This window comes from Homo sapiens, chromosome 1 (assembly GCF_000001405.40).
Source record: "Homo sapiens chromosome 1, GRCh38.p14 Primary Assembly".
Taxonomy (NCBI): Eukaryota; Metazoa; Chordata; class Mammalia; order Primates; family Hominidae; genus Homo; species Homo sapiens.
In genome coordinates, this window is record NC_000001.11 from 11,674,437 (window position 1) to 11,692,802 (window position 18,366).

General features: G+C 55.0%; 2 protein-coding genes across 5 annotated transcripts in view, besides 6 other annotated features; one reads left to right on the forward strand and one right to left on the reverse strand.

Moving 5' to 3' along the window:
* On the reverse strand, positions 44 to 17,394 carry MAD2L2 (mitotic arrest deficient 2 like 2). Of its 3 annotated transcripts, none has more exons than XM_047430782.1 (9): positions 17,316 to 17,394; positions 6,126 to 6,177; positions 5,917 to 6,035; positions 3,107 to 3,178; positions 2,412 to 2,512; positions 1,610 to 1,704; positions 1,222 to 1,295; positions 646 to 738; positions 44 to 380 (listed from the first exon to the last, which is right to left on the reverse strand). In XM_047430782.1, exons 2-9 carry the CDS (start codon positions 6,163 to 6,165, stop codon positions 339 to 341), a joined length of 636 nt encoding a protein of 211 aa, XP_047286738.1. In that variant the 5' UTR covers positions 6,166 to 6,177; positions 17,316 to 17,394; the 3' UTR covers positions 44 to 338. The 3 variants fall into 3 exon arrangements, with proteins under 3 accessions (XP_047286738.1, NP_001120797.1, NP_006332.3); NM_001127325.2 differs by lacking the exon at positions 17,316 to 17,394 and adding an exon at positions 16,977 to 17,123; NM_006341.4 differs by lacking the exon at positions 17,316 to 17,394 and adding an exon at positions 6,603 to 6,712.
* Positions 6,034 to 6,093: a silencer, noted in NCBI's record as "silent region_270". NCBI's record gives its function as "represses an Ori minimal core promoter by ATAC-STARR-seq in GM12878 lymphoblastoid cells {active_cell/tissue: GM12878}" and the evidence as "EXISTENCE:reporter gene assay evidence [ECO:0000049][PMID:35858748]".
* Positions 6,534 to 7,053: a silencer, noted in NCBI's record as "silent region_271". NCBI's record gives its function as "represses an Ori minimal core promoter by ATAC-STARR-seq in GM12878 lymphoblastoid cells {active_cell/tissue: GM12878}" and the evidence as "EXISTENCE:reporter gene assay evidence [ECO:0000049][PMID:35858748]".
* Positions 8,677 to 9,258: an enhancer, noted in NCBI's record as "H3K27ac-H3K4me1 hESC enhancer chr1:11743170-11743751 (GRCh37/hg19 assembly coordinates)". NCBI's record gives its function as "activates a minimal SCP1, AML or CMV promoter by ChIP-STARR-seq in primed H9 embryonic stem cells {active_cell/tissue: H9 hESC(primed)}" and the evidence as "EXISTENCE:reporter gene assay evidence [ECO:0000049][PMID:30033119]".
* Positions 10,208 to 10,708: an enhancer, noted in NCBI's record as "H3K4me1 hESC enhancer chr1:11744701-11745201 (GRCh37/hg19 assembly coordinates)". NCBI's record gives its function as "activates a minimal SCP1, AML or CMV promoter by ChIP-STARR-seq in primed H9 embryonic stem cells {active_cell/tissue: H9 hESC(primed)}" and the evidence as "EXISTENCE:reporter gene assay evidence [ECO:0000049][PMID:30033119]".
* Positions 12,199 to 18,366, forward strand: part of DRAXIN (dorsal inhibitory axon guidance protein) — a 39,223-nt gene continuing 33,055 nt past the window's right edge. Inside the window, exons 1-2 of one of the 2 annotated variants that reach the window (XM_017001215.2) lie at positions 12,199 to 12,337; positions 13,578 to 13,742. In XM_017001215.2, the coding sequence (XP_016856704.1) occupies positions 12,279 to 12,337; positions 13,578 to 13,742 (224 nt within the window). In that variant the 5' untranslated portion in view covers positions 12,199 to 12,278. Of the gene's footprint in view, positions 12,338 to 13,577; positions 13,743 to 17,273; positions 17,418 to 18,366 lie in introns of those variants that run through there. The other variant, NM_198545.4, reaches the window with a different exon arrangement.
* Positions 15,572 to 16,081: an enhancer, noted in NCBI's record as "H3K27ac hESC enhancer chr1:11750065-11750574 (GRCh37/hg19 assembly coordinates)". NCBI's record gives its function as "activates a minimal SCP1, AML or CMV promoter by ChIP-STARR-seq in naive H9 embryonic stem cells {active_cell/tissue: H9 hESC(naive)}" and the evidence as "EXISTENCE:reporter gene assay evidence [ECO:0000049][PMID:30033119]".
* Positions 16,082 to 16,589: an enhancer, noted in NCBI's record as "H3K27ac hESC enhancer chr1:11750575-11751082 (GRCh37/hg19 assembly coordinates)". NCBI's record gives its function as "activates a minimal SCP1, AML or CMV promoter by ChIP-STARR-seq in naive H9 embryonic stem cells {active_cell/tissue: H9 hESC(naive)}" and the evidence as "EXISTENCE:reporter gene assay evidence [ECO:0000049][PMID:30033119]".

The following is an 18,366-nucleotide window of genomic DNA, read 5'->3' on the forward strand; positions in this document are numbered from 1 at the left end:
TGGCCATACCTGTCCCTCCCACTCCAGTTAATGATGGCTCAGCTCAGCCCAGCCCTTGGGGCCCCTTTATTGAAACAACTCACAGCACAGTATTTGAGACAGACAGTGTTGGCCGGCGGAACCCCAGGAGGCTGAGAAGTCGAGGTTGCGGCATCCCTCACTGCCCTCCTGGGGGAGGCATCCTCCAAGCAGACCTGAGCGGCCCCGGGCTGGGGCGGGCGATCCACACACAGAGGCGATAAGAGCACTTGGAATCAGGGCAGCCATGCAGCACTGCCCTAGGCGGGGATCCCCCAAAGTCTGACAGTTTGGGCATCAGTGGGGTGGCAGGTGCCCCCTCAGCTGCCTTTATGAGCGCGCTCTTCCACGTAAAGCTGCATCTGACGGACACAAGCAAACAGCCACAGTCAGCAAGACAGCCAGGGCATCCCTGCTGGAGGACACAGAAGCCCCTGGTGGGCAGACCTCCACCACAGGTGGGGCCTCGTGGCCATAGCCATGGTGGAGAAGAGTAGAGATGGGAGGAGCCCTCCACCAGGCACTCCCCCGTTCTCTCCCGCAAGCCCTCTAGTAAGGCCTCAGCACCGGGCCTCACTTCGTTAAGCAGCCCCTAAATAAAGCTTCCCGGGTCCCCACGAAGCTCACCTTTAAAATGTCCGACGTCATGGTTTTTAGTGGTATCAGCCGGGGGTCATGCATGTGGACATCCTGCTCATCCGCCAGGATCCAGGGGAAATCCTAGGGAGGAGACAAAGGTCAGGGGGGTGACGGGGCTGGGCCCTGGCCTGCCCTCACTTTGCTGTCCCTCCCACTCCAGACCAGGGGCCTCCAACCTGAGCCTCAGAATCACTAGGAAGCTGTTGGTGATGCAGACCCCAGGACCGCCCCCATCCCCCACAGAGGCCAAGTCCATAGAACCCAAGTGACGAACAGGCTCCAGGCACCAACGCTGAACCTGGTGGGCTAGGACCCCTCCCTGGAGAGCCCCCACTTCAGAAGAGCCAGGATGAGCTGGGGGCCCCAGTAGGTGGCTCCACCTGGGCTCCTCACTGCCCCAAGTGCCCAGATGGAGCAGTGGACAGGCCTGAGGACCTGCTGGGTGCCAGGCGCTGCCACACCAATGTAATGGGTGGCTGGCCACAGGCAGTGCCCCTGCCCGCCTGGAACTGCGACATCACGTTTCTAGAGCCTGCGCCCAGACCCAGACCCATCTCATCTCACCTTGATGACCTGGATCTTCTCCATGTTGCGAGTGGCGGCTTCTCTCGTGTGCACCAGGACTGTGAAGGTACAGCCTGGAGAGGCAAGAGGTTGGTGGAGGCTCCCCCACCGCCCTGGTGCCAGCCACTGGGCCCAGCCTCTTCCCACTTCCCTTGCTGGCTCAGCAGCACCCCCAGAGCAGATGGCAAAGCAAGTGCTAAGAAAAGCCCCAGTCAATAGGGAGATGGAAGCCAGGTAGAATCAATCAGGGAAGCTTCCCAGAGGAGGTGGACTCTCAGGGTTAGGAAGAGATGAGTCTCAGAACAGCCAAACATGGACCTGGGAACACAGACCAACCCGAGATAACCATGGAAATGCCAAGGGAAGAGAGGGTGGGGAGTGGACACACCTGGGGGGTTGTGGTCCAGGACGGCATCGCACACGCTGATCTTCAGGATGAAGGCCCGGAGCAGCTGCTCCACATGAGACAACAGCGAGTCTGAGCTGGGAGTGAGAGGAGGTCTTCCCATCACACTGGCGCCCTCCCCTCCACCACAGGCATCAAGCCTGGATGCAGACCTGGGGTACAAGACCCCCTCCAGTGCCTGTGAGAGTGCTGCATGCCTAGGACCCAGCTCCCTATCCGGTCCACACAATTAAACCAGCAAGGGAGTTTAAAAGAAATGCCCAGCCCCACCCCAGATAAAGTCAGAATTCGGCGGGGGGTAGGGGACAGGGGAGGTAGGGGCAGCCTGAGGAGGCCTCCCTAGGTGGTTTTAATGTGCAGCCAGGACCCAGAACCAGGACACCAAGCCAGGAGGGGAAAGGGCTTGCCTAAGGCCACACAGGCCGTGGGGACAGGTTGGTGCCAGATTCCAGTGCCCTGACCTCACCATTGGAAGCATGCAGTTGACCAACTAACGCATGTGCCAGAGGTCAACTTCGAGTTGACTGGACACTTGCCTGGGGAGTCAGAAAACTGCTTCTGTGTCCTGGGCTCTGCCCCCACCCAGGTGACCCTGGGTAGCTCATGTCATCTCTCTGGACCCATCTCAGCTGCTCACAGGCTGTCCCCTTGTCATGCTGGTGCTTCTTGCCCTTTCTCCTCCCAGGCCTTTACCAAGGTATTCAAGGGCCGCCTTAAAGGGGTGGGTGTGTTGCCAGAGACACACCTGATGCCAGCTAGTGGGCGAGGGGCAGGGGCAGCCCACCTGATGGACAGCAGTGGAGGCTGGGTGATCTCAAAGACGAATTTCTCCACTGGGCGGTGCTCTTTATCCAAAATCACCACCACCACTTTCTCCACATCATTCTGCAAAGAGAGGAACCCCCACTGCAGAGCCAGGCACCCCACCCCGACTACACCACCCTGCCTCCACCCCCTTGCCCAAGGAAGGAGGAGAAACGGCCCACTCACAGCCCTGCTCAGCTGCTAGGCTGGGGGTCCCCAAGAGGCCAGATAGCGAGTTTGAGAAGCCGGCACCCTCCAGCATGAGTGGTGTAGGCTGAGAGAATGCCCGGGCCCCATAGGGAAGGTCCCAGGAAGTCTGAGATCAGGACTAGATGGGGAAGAAACCCTGAGGGGCTCAGCTCAGACAGAACGTTTAGCGTGGAGAACAGGGGACGGATGTGAGAAGAACCCCGAACCCTCTGGGGCAGCCCCTACTTAGAGCCAGCTCCAACCCGGGCTCCCAGGCCCAAGGCACCCTGAACATGGCCCGCATGCCTTGGGGCCTGCCCCTGGGTTGGGATGGTCTCCAGAGTGCAGGGAACAGGCTTCTGGGTATTGGAGCCATGAAGACCCCACAGAGTCCTAGCTTCACCCCATCCCAGAGTTGGACTGTGAGCACACAGGGACGGGGGTGAGCATGGGGTGAGATGGCTGGGGAGCCCAGTGCACCCTCACCTTCTCCAGGAGTGGCTTGACGCAGTGCAGCGTGTCCTGGATATACTGATTCAGCTCCGGGTGGCAGGACATCTGCACACAATACCATGCGGCTCGTGAGGCCCAAAGCACAGATGGGGAAACCACCCAACACAACCAGGAGCCTAAGGCCCCATCTGCCTTCGGTCCGAGGCCCAGCAGCTCTCCAGGGCTCCCTACCCAGGAGACCCCACTTTCCCTCAAGAGGCTAAGAACTGGCCGGGCATGGTGGCTCACGCCTATAATCTCAGCACTTTGGGAGGCCGAGGCAGGTGGATCACAAGGTCAGGTATTCGAGACCAGCCTGGCCAATATGGTGAAACCCCATCTCTACTAAAAATACAAAAATTAGCCGGGCATGGTGGCAGGCACCTTAGTCCCAGCTACTTGGCAGGCTAAGGCAAAAGAATCGCTTGAACCCGGGAGGCGGAGGTTGCAGTGAGCCGAGATCACGCCACTGCACTGCAACATGGGCAACAGAGCGAGACTCCATCTCAAAAAAAAAAAAAAAAACCAGAGGCTAAGAACTGTGAACTTATCCATAGAGAAAGAAGTTAGAAGATAAGAACTCAGGCTGGGCACAGTGGCTCACTCCTCTAATCCCAGCACTTTGAGAGGATGAGGTGGGTGGATCACCTGAGGTCAGGAGTTTGAGACCAGCCTGGCCAAAATGGCAAAACCCCATCTCTACTAAAAATACAAAAATTAGCCAGGTGAGGTGGCACCTGTAATCCCAGCTACTTGGGAGGCTGAGGCAGGAGAATCACTTGAACCTGGGAGGCGGAGGTTGCAGTGAGCTGAGATCAAGCCACTGCACTCCAGCTTGGGCAACAAAGCAAGACTCCATCTCAAAGGAAAAGAAAGATAAGAACTCAATCCCAATATGAGCATTTAATATACCATTAGGGGTTCTTAATGTGGGGTCCATGGACTCCTCCAGAGTCTGAAAAATCCCTAAAGTTGTATCTTTGTGCACTTGGGCATTTTTCCAGAAAAAGGATCCAGGAAAATGTAATCAGATGTCAAAAGTTAAGAACTAAGGAACTGTGTGGCCTCAGGCAAATTCCTTAACTTCTCTGGGCTTCAATCACTTCATCATAAAGAAGAAGTGAGTAAATGTCAATTGTTTTTTCCTTTCCCCTCTAAAGGTGACCTTCAACTTACTATGGGTTTATGTTTGGATAAACCAATCAAATATCGCCAGCGGAAAATGCAGTTAATACACATAACATACAGAACATCATAGCTTAGCCAGGCCTACCTAAACACACTCAAAACACATTAGCCCACAGTTGGGCAACATTATCTAACACAAAACCTGTTTCATAATAAAGTGCTCACGCCTGTAATCCCAGCACTTTGGGAGGCCAAGGCAGGTGGATCACCAGAGGTCAGGAGATCGAGACCAGCCTGGCCAACACGGCGAAACCTTGTCTCTACTAAAAATACAAAAATTAGCCAGATGTGGTGGCACACGCCTGTAATCCCAGCTACTCGGGAGGCTGAGGCAGGAGAATCACTTGAACCCAGGAGGTGGAGGTTGCAGTGAGCCAAGATCACGCCACTGCACTCCAGCCAGGGCGACAGAGCGAGACTCAGTCTCAAAAAATAAAATAAAATAAAATATAAAATAAAAAATAAAGTGCTGACTACCTCAAGTAATGTCTTGAATACCATACTGGAAGTGAGAAAACAATGGTGGTGTGGGGACTTGAAGCGGGGACCACCTGGATGTCCTTTGAGCTTCTACCACTTATTCTCATGTTTCCTGAGTGCCTTCCAGAGACAGGCACTTCTAGGGACTGGAGCTACAGTGCGATGCACACTGCTTTGTCTGCCTTTTAGCCTTAACCCATTGAGTTTAGGATAAATGGTAGGGAGAAGATTTGGAGGTTTTTGGAAATACCCTCCTCACACCAAGGTTCACCAGCTTCACGAGCTCCTTCAAAGTGCCACCATGCCCCCAGGGTAACTTTTTTTTTTGGAGACATAGTCTTGCTCTGTCGCCCAGGCTGGAGTGCAGTGGCACGATCTGGGCTTACTTCAACCTCTGCATCCCGGGTTCAAGCGAGTCTCCTGCCTCAGCCTCCCTAGTAACTGGGATTACAGGCGCGTACCACCACACCAGGCTAATTTTTGTATTTTTAGTAGAGACAGGATCTCATCATGTTGGTCAGGCTGGTTTCTTGAACTCCTGACCTTGTGATTCGCCCGCCTCAGCCTCCCAAAGTGCTGGGATTACAGGTGTGAGCCACCATGCCCGGCCACCCCCGGGGTAACTCTTATCAGGCCTGGTCCCTAACTTCTGGCAAGGGGAACTCTCTTCTGAGGGGTGGGTAGGCATCACCACTTTGGAACTGGAAGGCATTGGAAGGCATGGGCAGGGCCCTGCGGAATGAGGTGGCTTGGCCCGAAGTGGAAGAGGTTTTTTTTTTTTTTTTTTTTTTTTTTTGAGACGGAGTTTCGCTCTTGTCACCCAGGCTGGAATGCAGTGGCACAATTTCGGCTCACTGCAACCTCCGCCTCCTGGGTTCAAGGGATTCTCCTGCCTCAGCCTCCTGAGTAGCTGGGATTACAGGCCTTGGCCACCACGCCCGGCTAATTTTTGTATTTTTAGTAGAGACGGGGTTTCACCATGTTTGTCAGGCTGGTCTCGAACTCCTGACCTCAGGTGATCCGCCCGCCTCGGCCTCCCAAAGTGCTAGGATTACAGGCGTGAGCCACGGCGCCCGACCAAAGAATTTTTAAAAGTCCACCCTGTACCCACTCTGTGGTTCTGGGACGTGCCTCACCTGGACCGGCACGTTGTACTTCTTGCGTTTCTGGAAGATGCCCACGGGGTAGACCTCGCGCACGTAGAGGATGAGATGCACAGCCACCTCCAGGAACTCGCAGAGCACATCGGCCACCACTGCAGGGGGGCACAAGCCGGTGGCGCGCTCGAGGAAGCCCGCCGGCCCAGACGCCCCCGCCCCCGGGCCCGCAGGTCCAGCCTCCCTACCTTGGCCAAAGTTGAGGTCTTGTCGTGTGAGCGTGGTCATCCTTCCCGCTACCTGAGTGTTGGGGCAAGGGCAGAGGGTAGTTCCAGAGACCCAGGAGCCCAGAACCCGCTCGCTTCCACCGTCTCTTCCCTCCCCACAGTCTGTGGGAACTGGGGAAGGACCTCCCGCTTCGCACAGGCTCAGGGCAGCTGGAAGAACCTCCACCCCCACGCTGGCGTCCGTGCTTGGGGGCATCAGCCTCTATCCACTGGCCGCCCGCGCCCCCTCGCCCCGCTGTCTCGCGGGGTGGAAAGACCACAGCTGTGCCCCCGAAAAGGGCAGGGCCGCGGACGCAGAGGGAAACAGCGGGATGCCCAGGGCCGGGAGCGCAAAGCGGGACATGCGGAAAGCGAAGCGGGGTTGGAATAAGACTCCGCCCCCTGCTACGCCGGATCCCTCCCGGCGGGAATCCCGCCCCCTCTCCCCTCCCCCAGTACCGGCTCTGCGCTCGGTTCCCGCCCGAGATCGGGCCCGGCCCCGCCGCGGGGAGCCACCGACCGGACCGATCGCGCCTCCCGCTCAACCCGGGGCCTCGGCGCCGCTCGGTGACGTTCACGGCGCTCCGGTGGGTCCTAGCGCCCGCCCCGCCCAGGCCACGCCCATTCCCGCACGGCCCAAACCGGGCCTCGCAGAGGGCGGTTCCGCATGCGGGGGCGGGTCTCCGAGGGGCGGGGGCCGGGCCTCGGCGTCCGGGAGGGGCTGAGACCCGCCGCGCCACCTCCCTTCAACTTCGGGTGGGCGCGAAGAAAACACAACGTTGATCTCCACGTTCCATTGGATCGCTACATATCTTCCCCCGAGGGCATTTCTCTCGCTTTAGCAGGCGCCGGAAGAGGGCTGGGGAGGGACGGGGGAGCGCGCAGCTGGGGACTAACGGCAGCCACATCTGAGCTAGCCCGAGTCACCATCCCTGCAGCTGCCCACGCAAAAGCGAATCCTCTGGCTCGGGGGCGGGAACAGGGGAGGACAGGATTGTACCGGTTGTCAAGGCCCGGGTGAAATTTTAAAAATAAAAAAAAGAGGGCGTGCACCGGCGTCGCCCCTGCTCCGCCCCCACCGGGTACCTAAATGCAGCCTGGCCTGACCGCCCAAGAGGATGAACCCTCCCCGCCCTACGCTTCATAACAATAGCTGACCTTTTTGGAGCTCCAGCCGAGTGCTGGGCACTGGGCTAAGTGTGTCCGTGGATTATCTCAGTCCTGGGAGTAACTCCATGAGGCAGTTACTGTGACTGTTCTCTTTATACAGATAAGTCAAGCGAGGTGCAGAAGGGTGAATAACCTGCCCGAGTCTCCCAGCTGGTGGGGTGGGCGATGGCCGAGGTGCCTCCTGCCACTACATTTTACTGCTCCCAAGTCCCCCAGGGGCGTGGACTCGGTCTGGAAGTCCTGTAAGGGCCCTCAGAGATGATATTACTAAAATAATAAAAAATAATGACTAACATCGAGCACTTCTTATGTGTCAAACACTGATTCCGTTAATTCTCTCATTAACCCTAGCAGCTAAGTCTCCATTTTATAGCCCCACTTTACAGATGGTTAAACAGGCCCAGAAACGTTCTCTAATTCGCCAAAATCACACAGTGGGAATACAAACCCAGCTCTGATGCCTCTTCTGACACCAGGGCTTCCACTTATTTACAGCCCCCTTATTTTACAAGTGAGAAAACTAAGATCTGAGAAGCAGCTACGGAGTTAGTGGGCAACAAGTCAGGACCAGAAGCCAAGAGGACTTTGTCTGTGACCTCCAGGGACGTAAGAGCTTGTTAGTCCCATCCGTCTGTTTGGACACAGATCTAGCCAGACTTGTTTATCGTTTACAGCTCATTATAGAAGACCTGGATCCCTCCCCCCGCCCCCTGATGCCTTCAAACCTGCATTTCCAGACTTCTAATGGGGAGAGAAAAAGTAACCTGTAAGTAACCCATTAAGCTAGGAATGTCAGCAAAACATTTCTTCAAATGCAGTCCTAGGAAATCTGCATCAGAATCCCCCAGGAGCCCATTAATCACAGCTGCCCTGCTGCCTAGAGCAACCTGATCGAGGTGGGGTGCACAGCAGGGCACTGGCCCTTTAACAAGCTCCCCAGGGGCCCGGATGCCCAGCAAAGTGTGGGAATCACCACAGAGGTTTGGACTGTTCCCAGAGAATATCTTCATTTTGTAAAAATGCGATGCATTTTGTAAAATTGTGATGTAAAATCATCCATCCAAAGGGATGGATGATTTTGTTTTAGGAACTGGTGCACTTGGCAGCACATTCTGGGCACAGCAACCATTCTCAAGATATGGGGATCCTGCACACATCATGCCATTTCCACACAGAGCTGGCCAAGCAACTCACTGGCTTATACACAGAGTTCCGTGGCTCCTTGAGACTGACTCATTGCAGAACTTGGGAAAAGCAAGGGTCTTTCCTTTCCCTCTCTGGAGGCTGCTTAAGCAGCTTTTGCATTGGTGACAGGCAGTGGCAGTCATAGGGGGCAACTCCTTGCAAAGGAGCCCTTCAGACTGGGGCCTGGGGTGGGGAAACTGAGAGCCAAGTGACTCCTGTGGGATGGCCTTCAGGACACAGTGTGAGGGGCATTGGGGCTCAAGTCAGGCCCTCCCTCCATGAGCTCCCAGCCCCAGCCCTCTGCCCTGAGAAAACACAATACGAGCCACCCGTAGAACTCCTGACACACAGAGCTAAGAACGTCAGAAAAACCTTGGAGGACATAAACTCAACTGTCATTTTTCCTTGGGGAAACTGAGGTCCCAACAGCTCTTGACACTGGAGTACCCACCCTGTCAACTAGAAACCTGTGGATAAAAATATCTGGGTTTGCAAATATCATATGTTCTCACTTGTAAGTGGGAGTTAACCTATGAGGATGCAAAGGCATAGGAATGATATATTGGACTTTGGGGACTCGGGGGGAAGGAAGGGTGGGAAGGTGAGGGAAGGGTGGGAAGGTGAGGGACAAAAGACTACATACTGGGTACAGTGTACACTGCTGAGGTGATGGATGCACCAAAATCTCAGCAGTCACCACTAAATAACTTACCCATGTAACCAAAAATTATTGCAATTAAAAAAAAACGTCAGCTGGGCACGGTGGGTGGCTCACGCCTGTAATCCCAGCACTTTGGGAGGCTGAGGCTGGTGGATCACCTGAGGTCAGGAGTTTGAGATCAACCTGACCAACATGGAGAAACCCCATCTCTACTAAAAATACAAAATTAGCCAGGTGTGGTGGCGCATGCCTGTAATCCCAGCTACTCAGGAGGCTGAGGCAGGACAGTCACTTGAACCCGGGAGGCGGAGGTTGTGGTGAGCCAAGATCGCACCATTGCACTCCAGCCTGGGCAACAAGAGCGAGAACTCCATCTCAAAAAAACAAAAAAAGTCTGGGTTTGGGGCCTTGGGTTCAGATCCAATCACAAACAGAAGGAAGGTGGGTTAGGAAGCAGATGGGGAGGGATTCAAACCCATCTGACCCCAAACCCCTAAAAGGCTTCAGTCTCATTAGTGAAATGAACAGGCCAGATAGATGTTCCCTAAACCTCTGATGGCCTCAGGTTCCATGGGGGCGGGGGCAGGGGCAGGGGGCCGAGTCAGCATGGGCCCATCCGGGGAGCTCTGCCAACACTCCATCCATGCGCTCTTCAGCATCTGGTTTTGCATATCTTAATCGCATCAGCATGATGGATGGTTGTGGGATCCAGATTACATTATGGGGTTAATTTATTACATTTTTGAACATCCGTCTGCTGGGAGACTGTTGTTCAAAGTTATTTGCATATTTTTCACCATAATGACAATATGTAGGAGGGCGGCTGGGAAGGAAGGATGGGTGTTTAGGGGGAGCAAGAGTTTATTTGCCAACTAGAGCAGGTCCCTGAGGATCTCTGATGGGGACGGAGGGAAAATCACTCCCAAGAGACACTGAAATGGAAACTGAGAAGGTGAGCTGTGAGCACCAGCCCAGCAAAGAGGAAGACCTGCTCGGGCAGAGGAGGACTGCTGGGGTTTATGGAACAAACCCACAGTGAGTGAACCGGGCAATGAAGTTTCCAGACCCCAGAAATGATTCCAAGACCCCTCCCATCCCCACCAGGCTGATGGCAGAATGAATCAGCTCTCCCACCCTGCCTAAGGTTCCCAGGACACCAATCACATGGGTATGGGGGACATACAGAGTGAGACACACATAGCCTGGTGACAATCTCCTGATATCCTGACGCTCAGGGGCCCATCCAGTTGCAATGCTCCGGGGCAGGGACCCAGCCCTCATTCATTATTTCAATATAGTGCCTGGCCAAATTCAGGTTCTCTCTCTCTCTCTCTTTTTTTTTTTTTCCCAGAGACAGGGTCTCTCCTTGTCACCCAGGCTAGAGTGCAGTGGGGCAATCATAGCTCACTGCAGCCTGAAACTCCTGGGCTCAAGGGATCCTCCTACCTCAGCCTCTTGAGTAGCTAGGATTACAGGTGTGCACCACCACACCTGGCTGATTTTTCAAATTTTTTGCAGAGGCAGGGTCTCCCCATGTTGCCTAGGCTGGTCTCGAACTCCTGGGCTCAAGTGATCCTCCTGCCTCTCACCCTCGCAAAATGCTGAGATTACAGGCTTGAGCCACCATGCCCAGCCCGAATTCAGGTTCTCAGCAAATGTGTGTCAAATGAGTGAATGAAAGAATGAATGGCAGAGGAATGAAGTGATGGTGGACAGTGGCTCATTACCACTTGCCTGACTTGAATCCCAACTGAGTCTGGATGAGGAGCAAAACACGTCGACTTCAGTGCCCGGGCTATGGGTGGCACTATGCAGAGAAAAGCTATTTTCAAAAACAAAAGCAAGGGCTGTGGCATGTTCCCTATGGTGTCCCCAGCACCCACTGGGCCTGCTCATGTGTCCAACCTGCTGCTTCTCTCCCCAACACTGCCCCTTAACCAGCTGCGAGGCCCTTCTTTCTCTGAACCTCAGTTTGCTCATCTGTAAAATGGCATAATGGTAGTTCTAATTTCATAGGATTGAGCAAAGAGCAAATGTTTATGTCCATGTTCATGTTTATAAAAAATATAAAGTGCACAATGCCAGGCATGGTGGCTCACGCCTATAATCCCAGCTTTTTGGGAGGCCAAGGTGGACGGACCACTTGAGCTCAGGACTTCGAGACCAGCCTGGGCAACATGGCAAAAACTCTACAAAAAATATAAAAATTAGCTGAGCATGGTGGCGTGCACCTGTATTCCCAGCTACTTAGGGGGCTGAGGTGGGAGGATCACTTGAGCCCAGGAAATCAACGCTGCAGTGAGCCATGTTTGTACCACTGCACTCCAACCTGGGTTATAAAGTGAGACCCTGTCTCAAAAAATAAACAAATAAATAAAGTGCACAATGCCTGGCACATAAATGCTCAATTAATGACTGTTATGACAATGATATTAAGGTCTATATACACTATTTAAGCCCCCAGAACAAACCCTCTGGACAAGCTGTCACACTTTTCAAAACCCCATCCAAACCATCCTTAGCGGCATCCCCATAGCTCCATTTCCATTTCCCAAGGCAGCAGGCAACTCCCAAGGTGCCCTAGGGAGGACACGCATCATCACGGAACAAGATGCCTAAAGACAAGGACTTCCTGCTGACAGCTCCTCTCCGCTCTCATCTGCCTTCTGGTGTGAGGCCTGACCTGGACAGCTGTCCCAGATCCCAGGGTTCACTGCTGACCTGAGATGGCTTCCGACACTTCAGCCAGAGCAAAGCCCTCACCTGCCATTCCCTCCGTGGGGTTCTACTGATTCCCAGTGTTGCTGACCCCTCAGTGGTCAGGGGGACCTTACTGATCATCTGCTCTTTTTTCATAGAGACAGGGTCTCGCTGTGTTACCCAGGCTGGTCTTGAACATTTGGCCTCCAGAGTTCCTGCTTCAGCCTCCCAAAGCTCTGGGATTACTGGCATAAGCCACCGCGCCTAGCTAATTTTTTTGTACTTTTAGTACAGACGGGGTTTCGCCATGTTGGCCAGGCTGGCCTCGAACTCCTGACCCCAAGTGATGTGCCCGCCTCCACCTGCCAAAGTGTTGGGATTACAGGCTTGAGCCACTGCGCCCGGCCCAGAGACACTAAATGCCTTACACAACATCAGGAGTGTCCAGATATATTCAGAAGCCATCCTGGGCCACAAGGTAAGAACTTTTGATCCAGCTCAACTGCCACTTTAAAAAAAAAAAAAAAAAAAAAAAACTTCTCTGTGGAGATATAATTCACAAACCATAAAGTTCACATTTTCCCTGGGTACAATTCAGTGATTTTTAGTATAGTTACAATGTTGTACATCGCTACTCTCTAATTCGGAACATTTTCATCACTCCTGATGTCTTGAGAAGGGTTGTTCATGCCCAAAGTGTGTTGCCAGGTACATCAGTTCCAAAACTACTAATCTACTTTCTGTTCTATGGATTGTCCAATTTTTTTATTTTTTTATTTTATTTTTTGGAGACAGGGTCTCACTCTGTCATCTAGGCTGGAGTGCAGTGACGCAATCACAGCTCACTGAAGCCTCAACCTCCTGGGCTCAAGCGATCCTCCCACCTCAGCCTCCCCAATAGCTGGGGCTACAGGTGTGCACCATCACACCCAGCTAATTTTTATTTCATTTATTTCTTTTTTGAGACGGAGTCTCTCTCTGCCACCCAGGCTGGAGGGCGGTGGTGCAATCTCGGCTCAATGAAATCTCTGCCTCCCCGATTCAAGCGATTCTCCTGCCTCAGCCTCCCGAGTAGCTGGGACTACAGGCGACCTCCATCACGCTTGGCTAATTTTTAAATTTTTAGTAGACATGAGGTTTTGCCATATTGGCCAGGCTGGTCTCGAACTCCTGACCTCAGGTGACCCACCTACCTTGGCCTCCCAAAGTGTTGGGATGACAGGCATGAGCCACCACGCCCAGACTAATTTTTAAAATTTTCTGTAGAGAAGGGGTCTCACTATGTTGCCAGGCTGGTCTCCAACTCCTGGCTTCAAGAGGTCCTCCTGCCTCACCCTCTCAAAGTGCTAGGATTACAGGCATGAGCCACTGCGCCTGACCTGGACTTGCCAATACGGAACATTCCATATAAAAGTAATTGTACAAAATATGGTCTTTTATGTCTGGCTTGTTCCACTTAGCATAATGTTTTCAAGATTCATCCAGGTCGAATCACATATTGATACTTCATTCCTTCGTAGAACCAAAATACTCCCGTGTATGGATAGACCACATCTGCTTATCCAGTCATCAGTTGATGAATATTGGAGCCTGCTTTGGCCCCTCAAGTACCTCATTTTACAGACAAGGAAACTGAGGCCCTAAAGTCATCATAAACTGGATGGGATAGGAGTCCAGGCCTCTCCTAACATCCACCTTTTCATATTGTGTCACCCCAGCTCCAAGCACATCGGAAGATCACCCAGCCAGGGGACAGCCACAGTAGCAGCATTTGAACCAGAGACTCCAAGGTTTTTCTCCTGGCTCATGAATACTGGCCCACAGCTCTATCCTTGGCGACGCAAATCATGCTGGCTGCACACTGCCCCCTCTCCCAGGCCCAGGTGACCATCATCTCTTCTCTGCCACAGTACTTAGCTGGTCTCTTGCTTTCACCCTTGTCCCACTGCAGACTACTCCCAACCTTAGGAATCAGCACACGTGGCCGGGCACGGTGGCTCATGCCTGTAATCCCAGAACTTTGGGAGGCCGAGGCTGGCGAATCACCTGAGGTCAGGATATCGAGACCATCCTGGCTAACATGGGGAAACTCTGTCTCTACTAAAAATACAAAAAATTAGCCAGGCATGGTGGCAGGTGCCTGTAGTCACAGCTACTCAGGAAGCTGAGGCAGGCGAATCGCTTGAACTTGGGAGGCAGAGGTTGCAGTGAGCCAAGATCGCGCCACTGCACTCCAGCCTGGACAACAGAGCAAGACTGCATCTCAAAAAAAAAAAAGAAAAAGCAATCAGCAAACCTGCTAAAAACCTAAGTCGGATCATGTCTCTGCTCTGCTCATGGTCCCTCTAAAAAGCTCAAGTCCTCCCTGTGGCCTTTGCAGGCTCACATTGTTAGAGGTGTCTGAACCAGAGCAACCCCATCTTGAGTAGGGGCTGGGTCAAATGGGGTTGGGACTTGCTGGGCCATATTCCCAGATGGCTAAGGCATTCTAAGTCACAGTATGAGACAGGAGATCAGCACAAGATACAGGTCATAAAGACCTTGCTGATAAAACAGTTTGCAGTAAGGAAGCCTGTCAAAACCCACCAAAAGCAAGATGGCCACGAGACCAACCTCTGGTCATCCTCACTGCTCCACTCCCACCAGTGCCATGGCAGTTTACAAATGCCATGGCAACATCAGGACGTTACCCTATATGGTCTAAAAAGGGGAAGCAAAGGCCAGGCACACTGGCTTACCCCTGTAACCCTAGCACTTTGGGAGGCCAAGGCAGGCAGATTGCCTGGGGTCAGGAGTTCGAGACCCGCCTGGGCAACATGGCGAAACCCTGTCTCTACTAAAAATACAAAAAATTAGCTGAGCATGGCGGTGTGTGCCTGTAACCCCAGCTAACTGGGAGGCTGAGGCATGAATCGCTTGAACCTGGGAGGCAGAAGTTGCAGTGAGCCGAGACTGTGCCACTATACAAGCCTGGGCAACAAAGTGAGACTCTGTCTCAAAAAAAAAAAAAAAAAAAAAAAGGCTGGGTGCTGTAGCTCGAGCCTGTAATCCCAGCACTTTGGGAGGCTGAGACAGGTGGATCACCTGAGGTCAGGAGTTCAAGACCGGCCTGGCCAACATGGTGAAACCCCATCTCTACTGAAAACACAAAGTTAGCGGGCATGGTGGTGTGCACCTGTAATCCCAGCTACTCGGGAGGCTGAGGCAGGAGAATTGCTTGAACCCGGGAGGTGGAGGTTGCAGTGAGCTGAGATTGTGCCACTGCACTCCAGCCTGGGTGAGAGCAAGACTCCCTCTCAAAAAGAAAAACAAAAGGCGGGGGGAGGGGAGAAGCATGAATAATCCACCCTTTGTTTAGCACATCATCAGGAAATAACCATAAAAATGGGCAACCAGCAACCCTTGGTGCTGTGCTGTCTATGGAGTAGTCATTCTTTTTATTCCTCTACTGTCTTAATAAACTTTTTACTCTATGGACTCGCCCTGAATTATTTCTTGTGCGAGATCCAAGAACCCTCTCCTGAGGTCTGGGTCAGGACCCCTTTCCTGTAACAACATGGTCCTATCCCAGCTCCCTGTCTGATGTCACCTCACTCTGTTCCAGACTGACTCTTCTCCACCAAACACACCAAGCACACTCCCGCTCCAGGACCTTTGCAGTGGCTCTTCTGCTTGCAAGTCTTCTCCCCACAACCACGTGGCTCATTACCTCCTTTTCTTTGCCAAAAGAACTGCCCCAGCAAAGAGGCCTTTCCTAATAACTTTATGTAAAACAACACCTCGTCCCTTCATGCTTTGTCTGTAATGTGCTTTACTTTTCTTCATAGCACTAATCACCACCTGACATCATTTATATTTATTTGTTCACTTATCTTCTGTCTCCTTCACTAGAATCTGAGCTCCATGGGGGCAGGGATTCTTGTCCATGTTGTTTACTACTGTACCTCCGGTGCCGGCACATAGTAGGTGTTCAATAGGTATTTATGGGATGGATGACTCAAACCTTTCAGTGAATAAACAGTTCAGTGTTCTCATCAATCCATCCTGGTGCCCACCAAGCTAATAATATCACGGTAACAATGGCAGCTAATTTTACAGGAGCATTTCCTATGGGCCAGACCTTAGAAACGTTATCTCCTTACACAGGGCACTGCATTCACGCCTAGAACACTGAAATTTAGGTATAATCATGAGCTCAGAGGTCAGGCGACTTGCTCGAGGTCATAGGGGACGGCATCAGAAGAGGAACACAGACATTTAGCCTGACGGCAGAACTGTGTTCTAAAACCTCAAAGTCATAATTTGCCACACGCTGGAGAAAGAAAACAGTCGAAATGGAAGCCACCTGGCGAGCTCAGGGCGCCAGGTGGGAGCGCTGCTTCCCACATATGGGAGTCCGGCCCCATCGCTCTTTGATCTTTGCAGCGTCCGTGGCCCCACCGACCCCGTCGTGAGTTATGGGAGGCACGGGACCCATAACCCAGCATTCTCAGACTCCCAGGGTCGTCAGGACACGGCGCCCCGCGCGGTGATGGATGAGCCGGCCCCAGCGCTGGCTTTGTCCGGGTTGGGCCGGTCTGAGAAGCTTCAGGCCGGCTTTGGACGGGGCGTGGCGAGAGCCGCGCCGCGTGTGAGTGTGTGTGTGTGTGTGTTTGTGTGTGTGTGTATTGGGGCGGTTGTCTTTCTCCCTTCCCTACCGGGAAAGAGGGCACAGGTGCGCCGTCAGCGCCCCAGGTGAGCTGGTAGCACTTTGAAGACCCTTTGTACCCCTACATCCAGGAGCGACCTCTCGGAGAACCCCGCCTGCCCACTCTGCGCACTTTCTGCGGCTACAAAGGCCCCGCCGTTCCCCGTCCCGCCTCCCCCGCCCTGGGCATTTCTTCCGTCCCTTTTGACAGTCTAGGCGGAATAATCCTTTTGTGGCCCCGGGCCCCTGCCCTGACAGACGCGGCCGCAGCTGAGCGCGCAGCCTCGCTCCATTGTTGGGGTCCACCGAGGACCGCCCGCCGCGGCCCTTTGTCGCCCGCCCTGCGCGGGGCCGCTCCAGAGGCGCCACAACTGCCGGAGCCCCTCCCGTCCCACGCGCCCTGGGCCGCGCCGAGGCGGCTCTTACGCACCGGGAGGAGTGGGCCTGCCTCGCCCGGTGCCCGCACGGCTGCTGGGCTGCGCCCGCCTTTGTCTGCCTCCTTTGTCTGCCCCGCGCCCTCGCGGCGGCGGCGCCTAGGCCTCTGGGGAGCTGGCCCAGAACTCAGAGCGCAGCTGGCGAGGGCGCGCTGGCCGGGTGCGCGCCGGGCCCGGCCCCGGGGCTGCCCCTCGGCTGGGGGCAGTCGAGCCCGCCACCCGCCGCCCCTCCTCTGTCCCCTCCCCGCGCTCCCGCCCCCTTCCCTCCTGCCCGCCCACTCCCCCTTCCTTCCAGTCCCGCTCAGCCCGGGCACATCCTCCGGCTGCCCGCGCACCTCTCCACGCCGGCCCCGTTCCGCGGCTCGCCCTCGGCTGCGCTCGGCTCCCGCGGGCGCTCGGCCCCGAGCCCCTCCTCCCCCTACCCGCCGGCCGGACAGGTAAGGCACGGCCTCGGCCCGCCCCTGGCTCCGCCCCTCCCGCCCCACCTGGCTGCGAGCCCGGACAAAGGTGGGCTACCTGGCGCGCCCAGGGGCGGGGTGCGCGGGGTCCCGAGGCTGGAAGTGAGGATGCTGCCTCCTTCCCAGCCCTCGGACCCGTCTATCCGCCAGTCCTTCCGCCGCCTCCTCTCCTCGCCGCGTCTGCCCACGGACCCTGGCTCTGCTCCCGGGCTCCCCATCCGTCCACCTACCGCTGGACGCCCACTTTTCCACGCTCTGACACTCGGCCTCGCGCGCGCCCTCGCCGCCCTCTGGGGTCCCGGCTCGCACCTACTCTCCTCGGCACTAGCCTTCTCTCTCCCTGACCCAGTCTCCCTTTGTCTCTCTGTCTCTGAGTCTCCGGGTGGTCTCTCAGGCAGGGGGCCCCAGTCCGCCACCGTTGGAAGAAGTCTTCGAAGACTCCCTGAGCCCCGGGCAGAGCTGGCGGGCGTGCCCTCCAGCCCCTTTCGAGGCCGCCCAGGAGGCTGGGGTGTGTGGCCGGGGTCGCTGAGTGCGCCCGGAACCAGCACCGCCGGTGGCCCCGCGCCGTCCCATCTGTGCCCAGGAAGGTACTCAGCCTGGCTCCCCCGACGGCGCTGGTCTTTCGCCTGTGGTCTCCCGCTCTGTCCCTCCTGCTCCCCACCGCCGGCTTTTGGCTTTTCTCCGTCCGCTCGTCAAGGGTCTCAGCCGCCTTCGGGGCCGGGGTATGAGATGAGAGAGGGCTGGGGTTTCCCGCCAAGTCTTTCTTGCTTTCCTCAGCTGGGTGCTCCCTGGGCCATCCTCTCCGCCCGGTGGTCTCCCCTGCCCTATATGCTCCCTCCACGCTGCCCACCTCCCAGCCCAGTGACACACTGGTGTCTGGAACCGGTTCAGTACTATGCATCTGGAGTCGGGTACACTGGGGCTCTGG

Bases quoted from the DNA above. Each gene is read 5' to 3' on its own strand.
- MAD2L2 (XM_047430782.1), bottom strand. From the start codon at position 6,165: ATGACCACGCTCACACGACAAGACCTCAACTTTGGCCAAG. The intron at 3,179-5,916 runs GTGAGGCACGTC...TATTGTGTGCAG, and splicing joins AGTACAACGTGCCGGTCCAG to ATGTCCTGCCACCCGGAGCT. The intron at 1,296-1,609 runs GTGTGTCCACTC...TTGCCTCTCCAG, and splicing joins CCTGGACCACAACCCCCCAG to GCTGTACCTTCACAGTCCTG.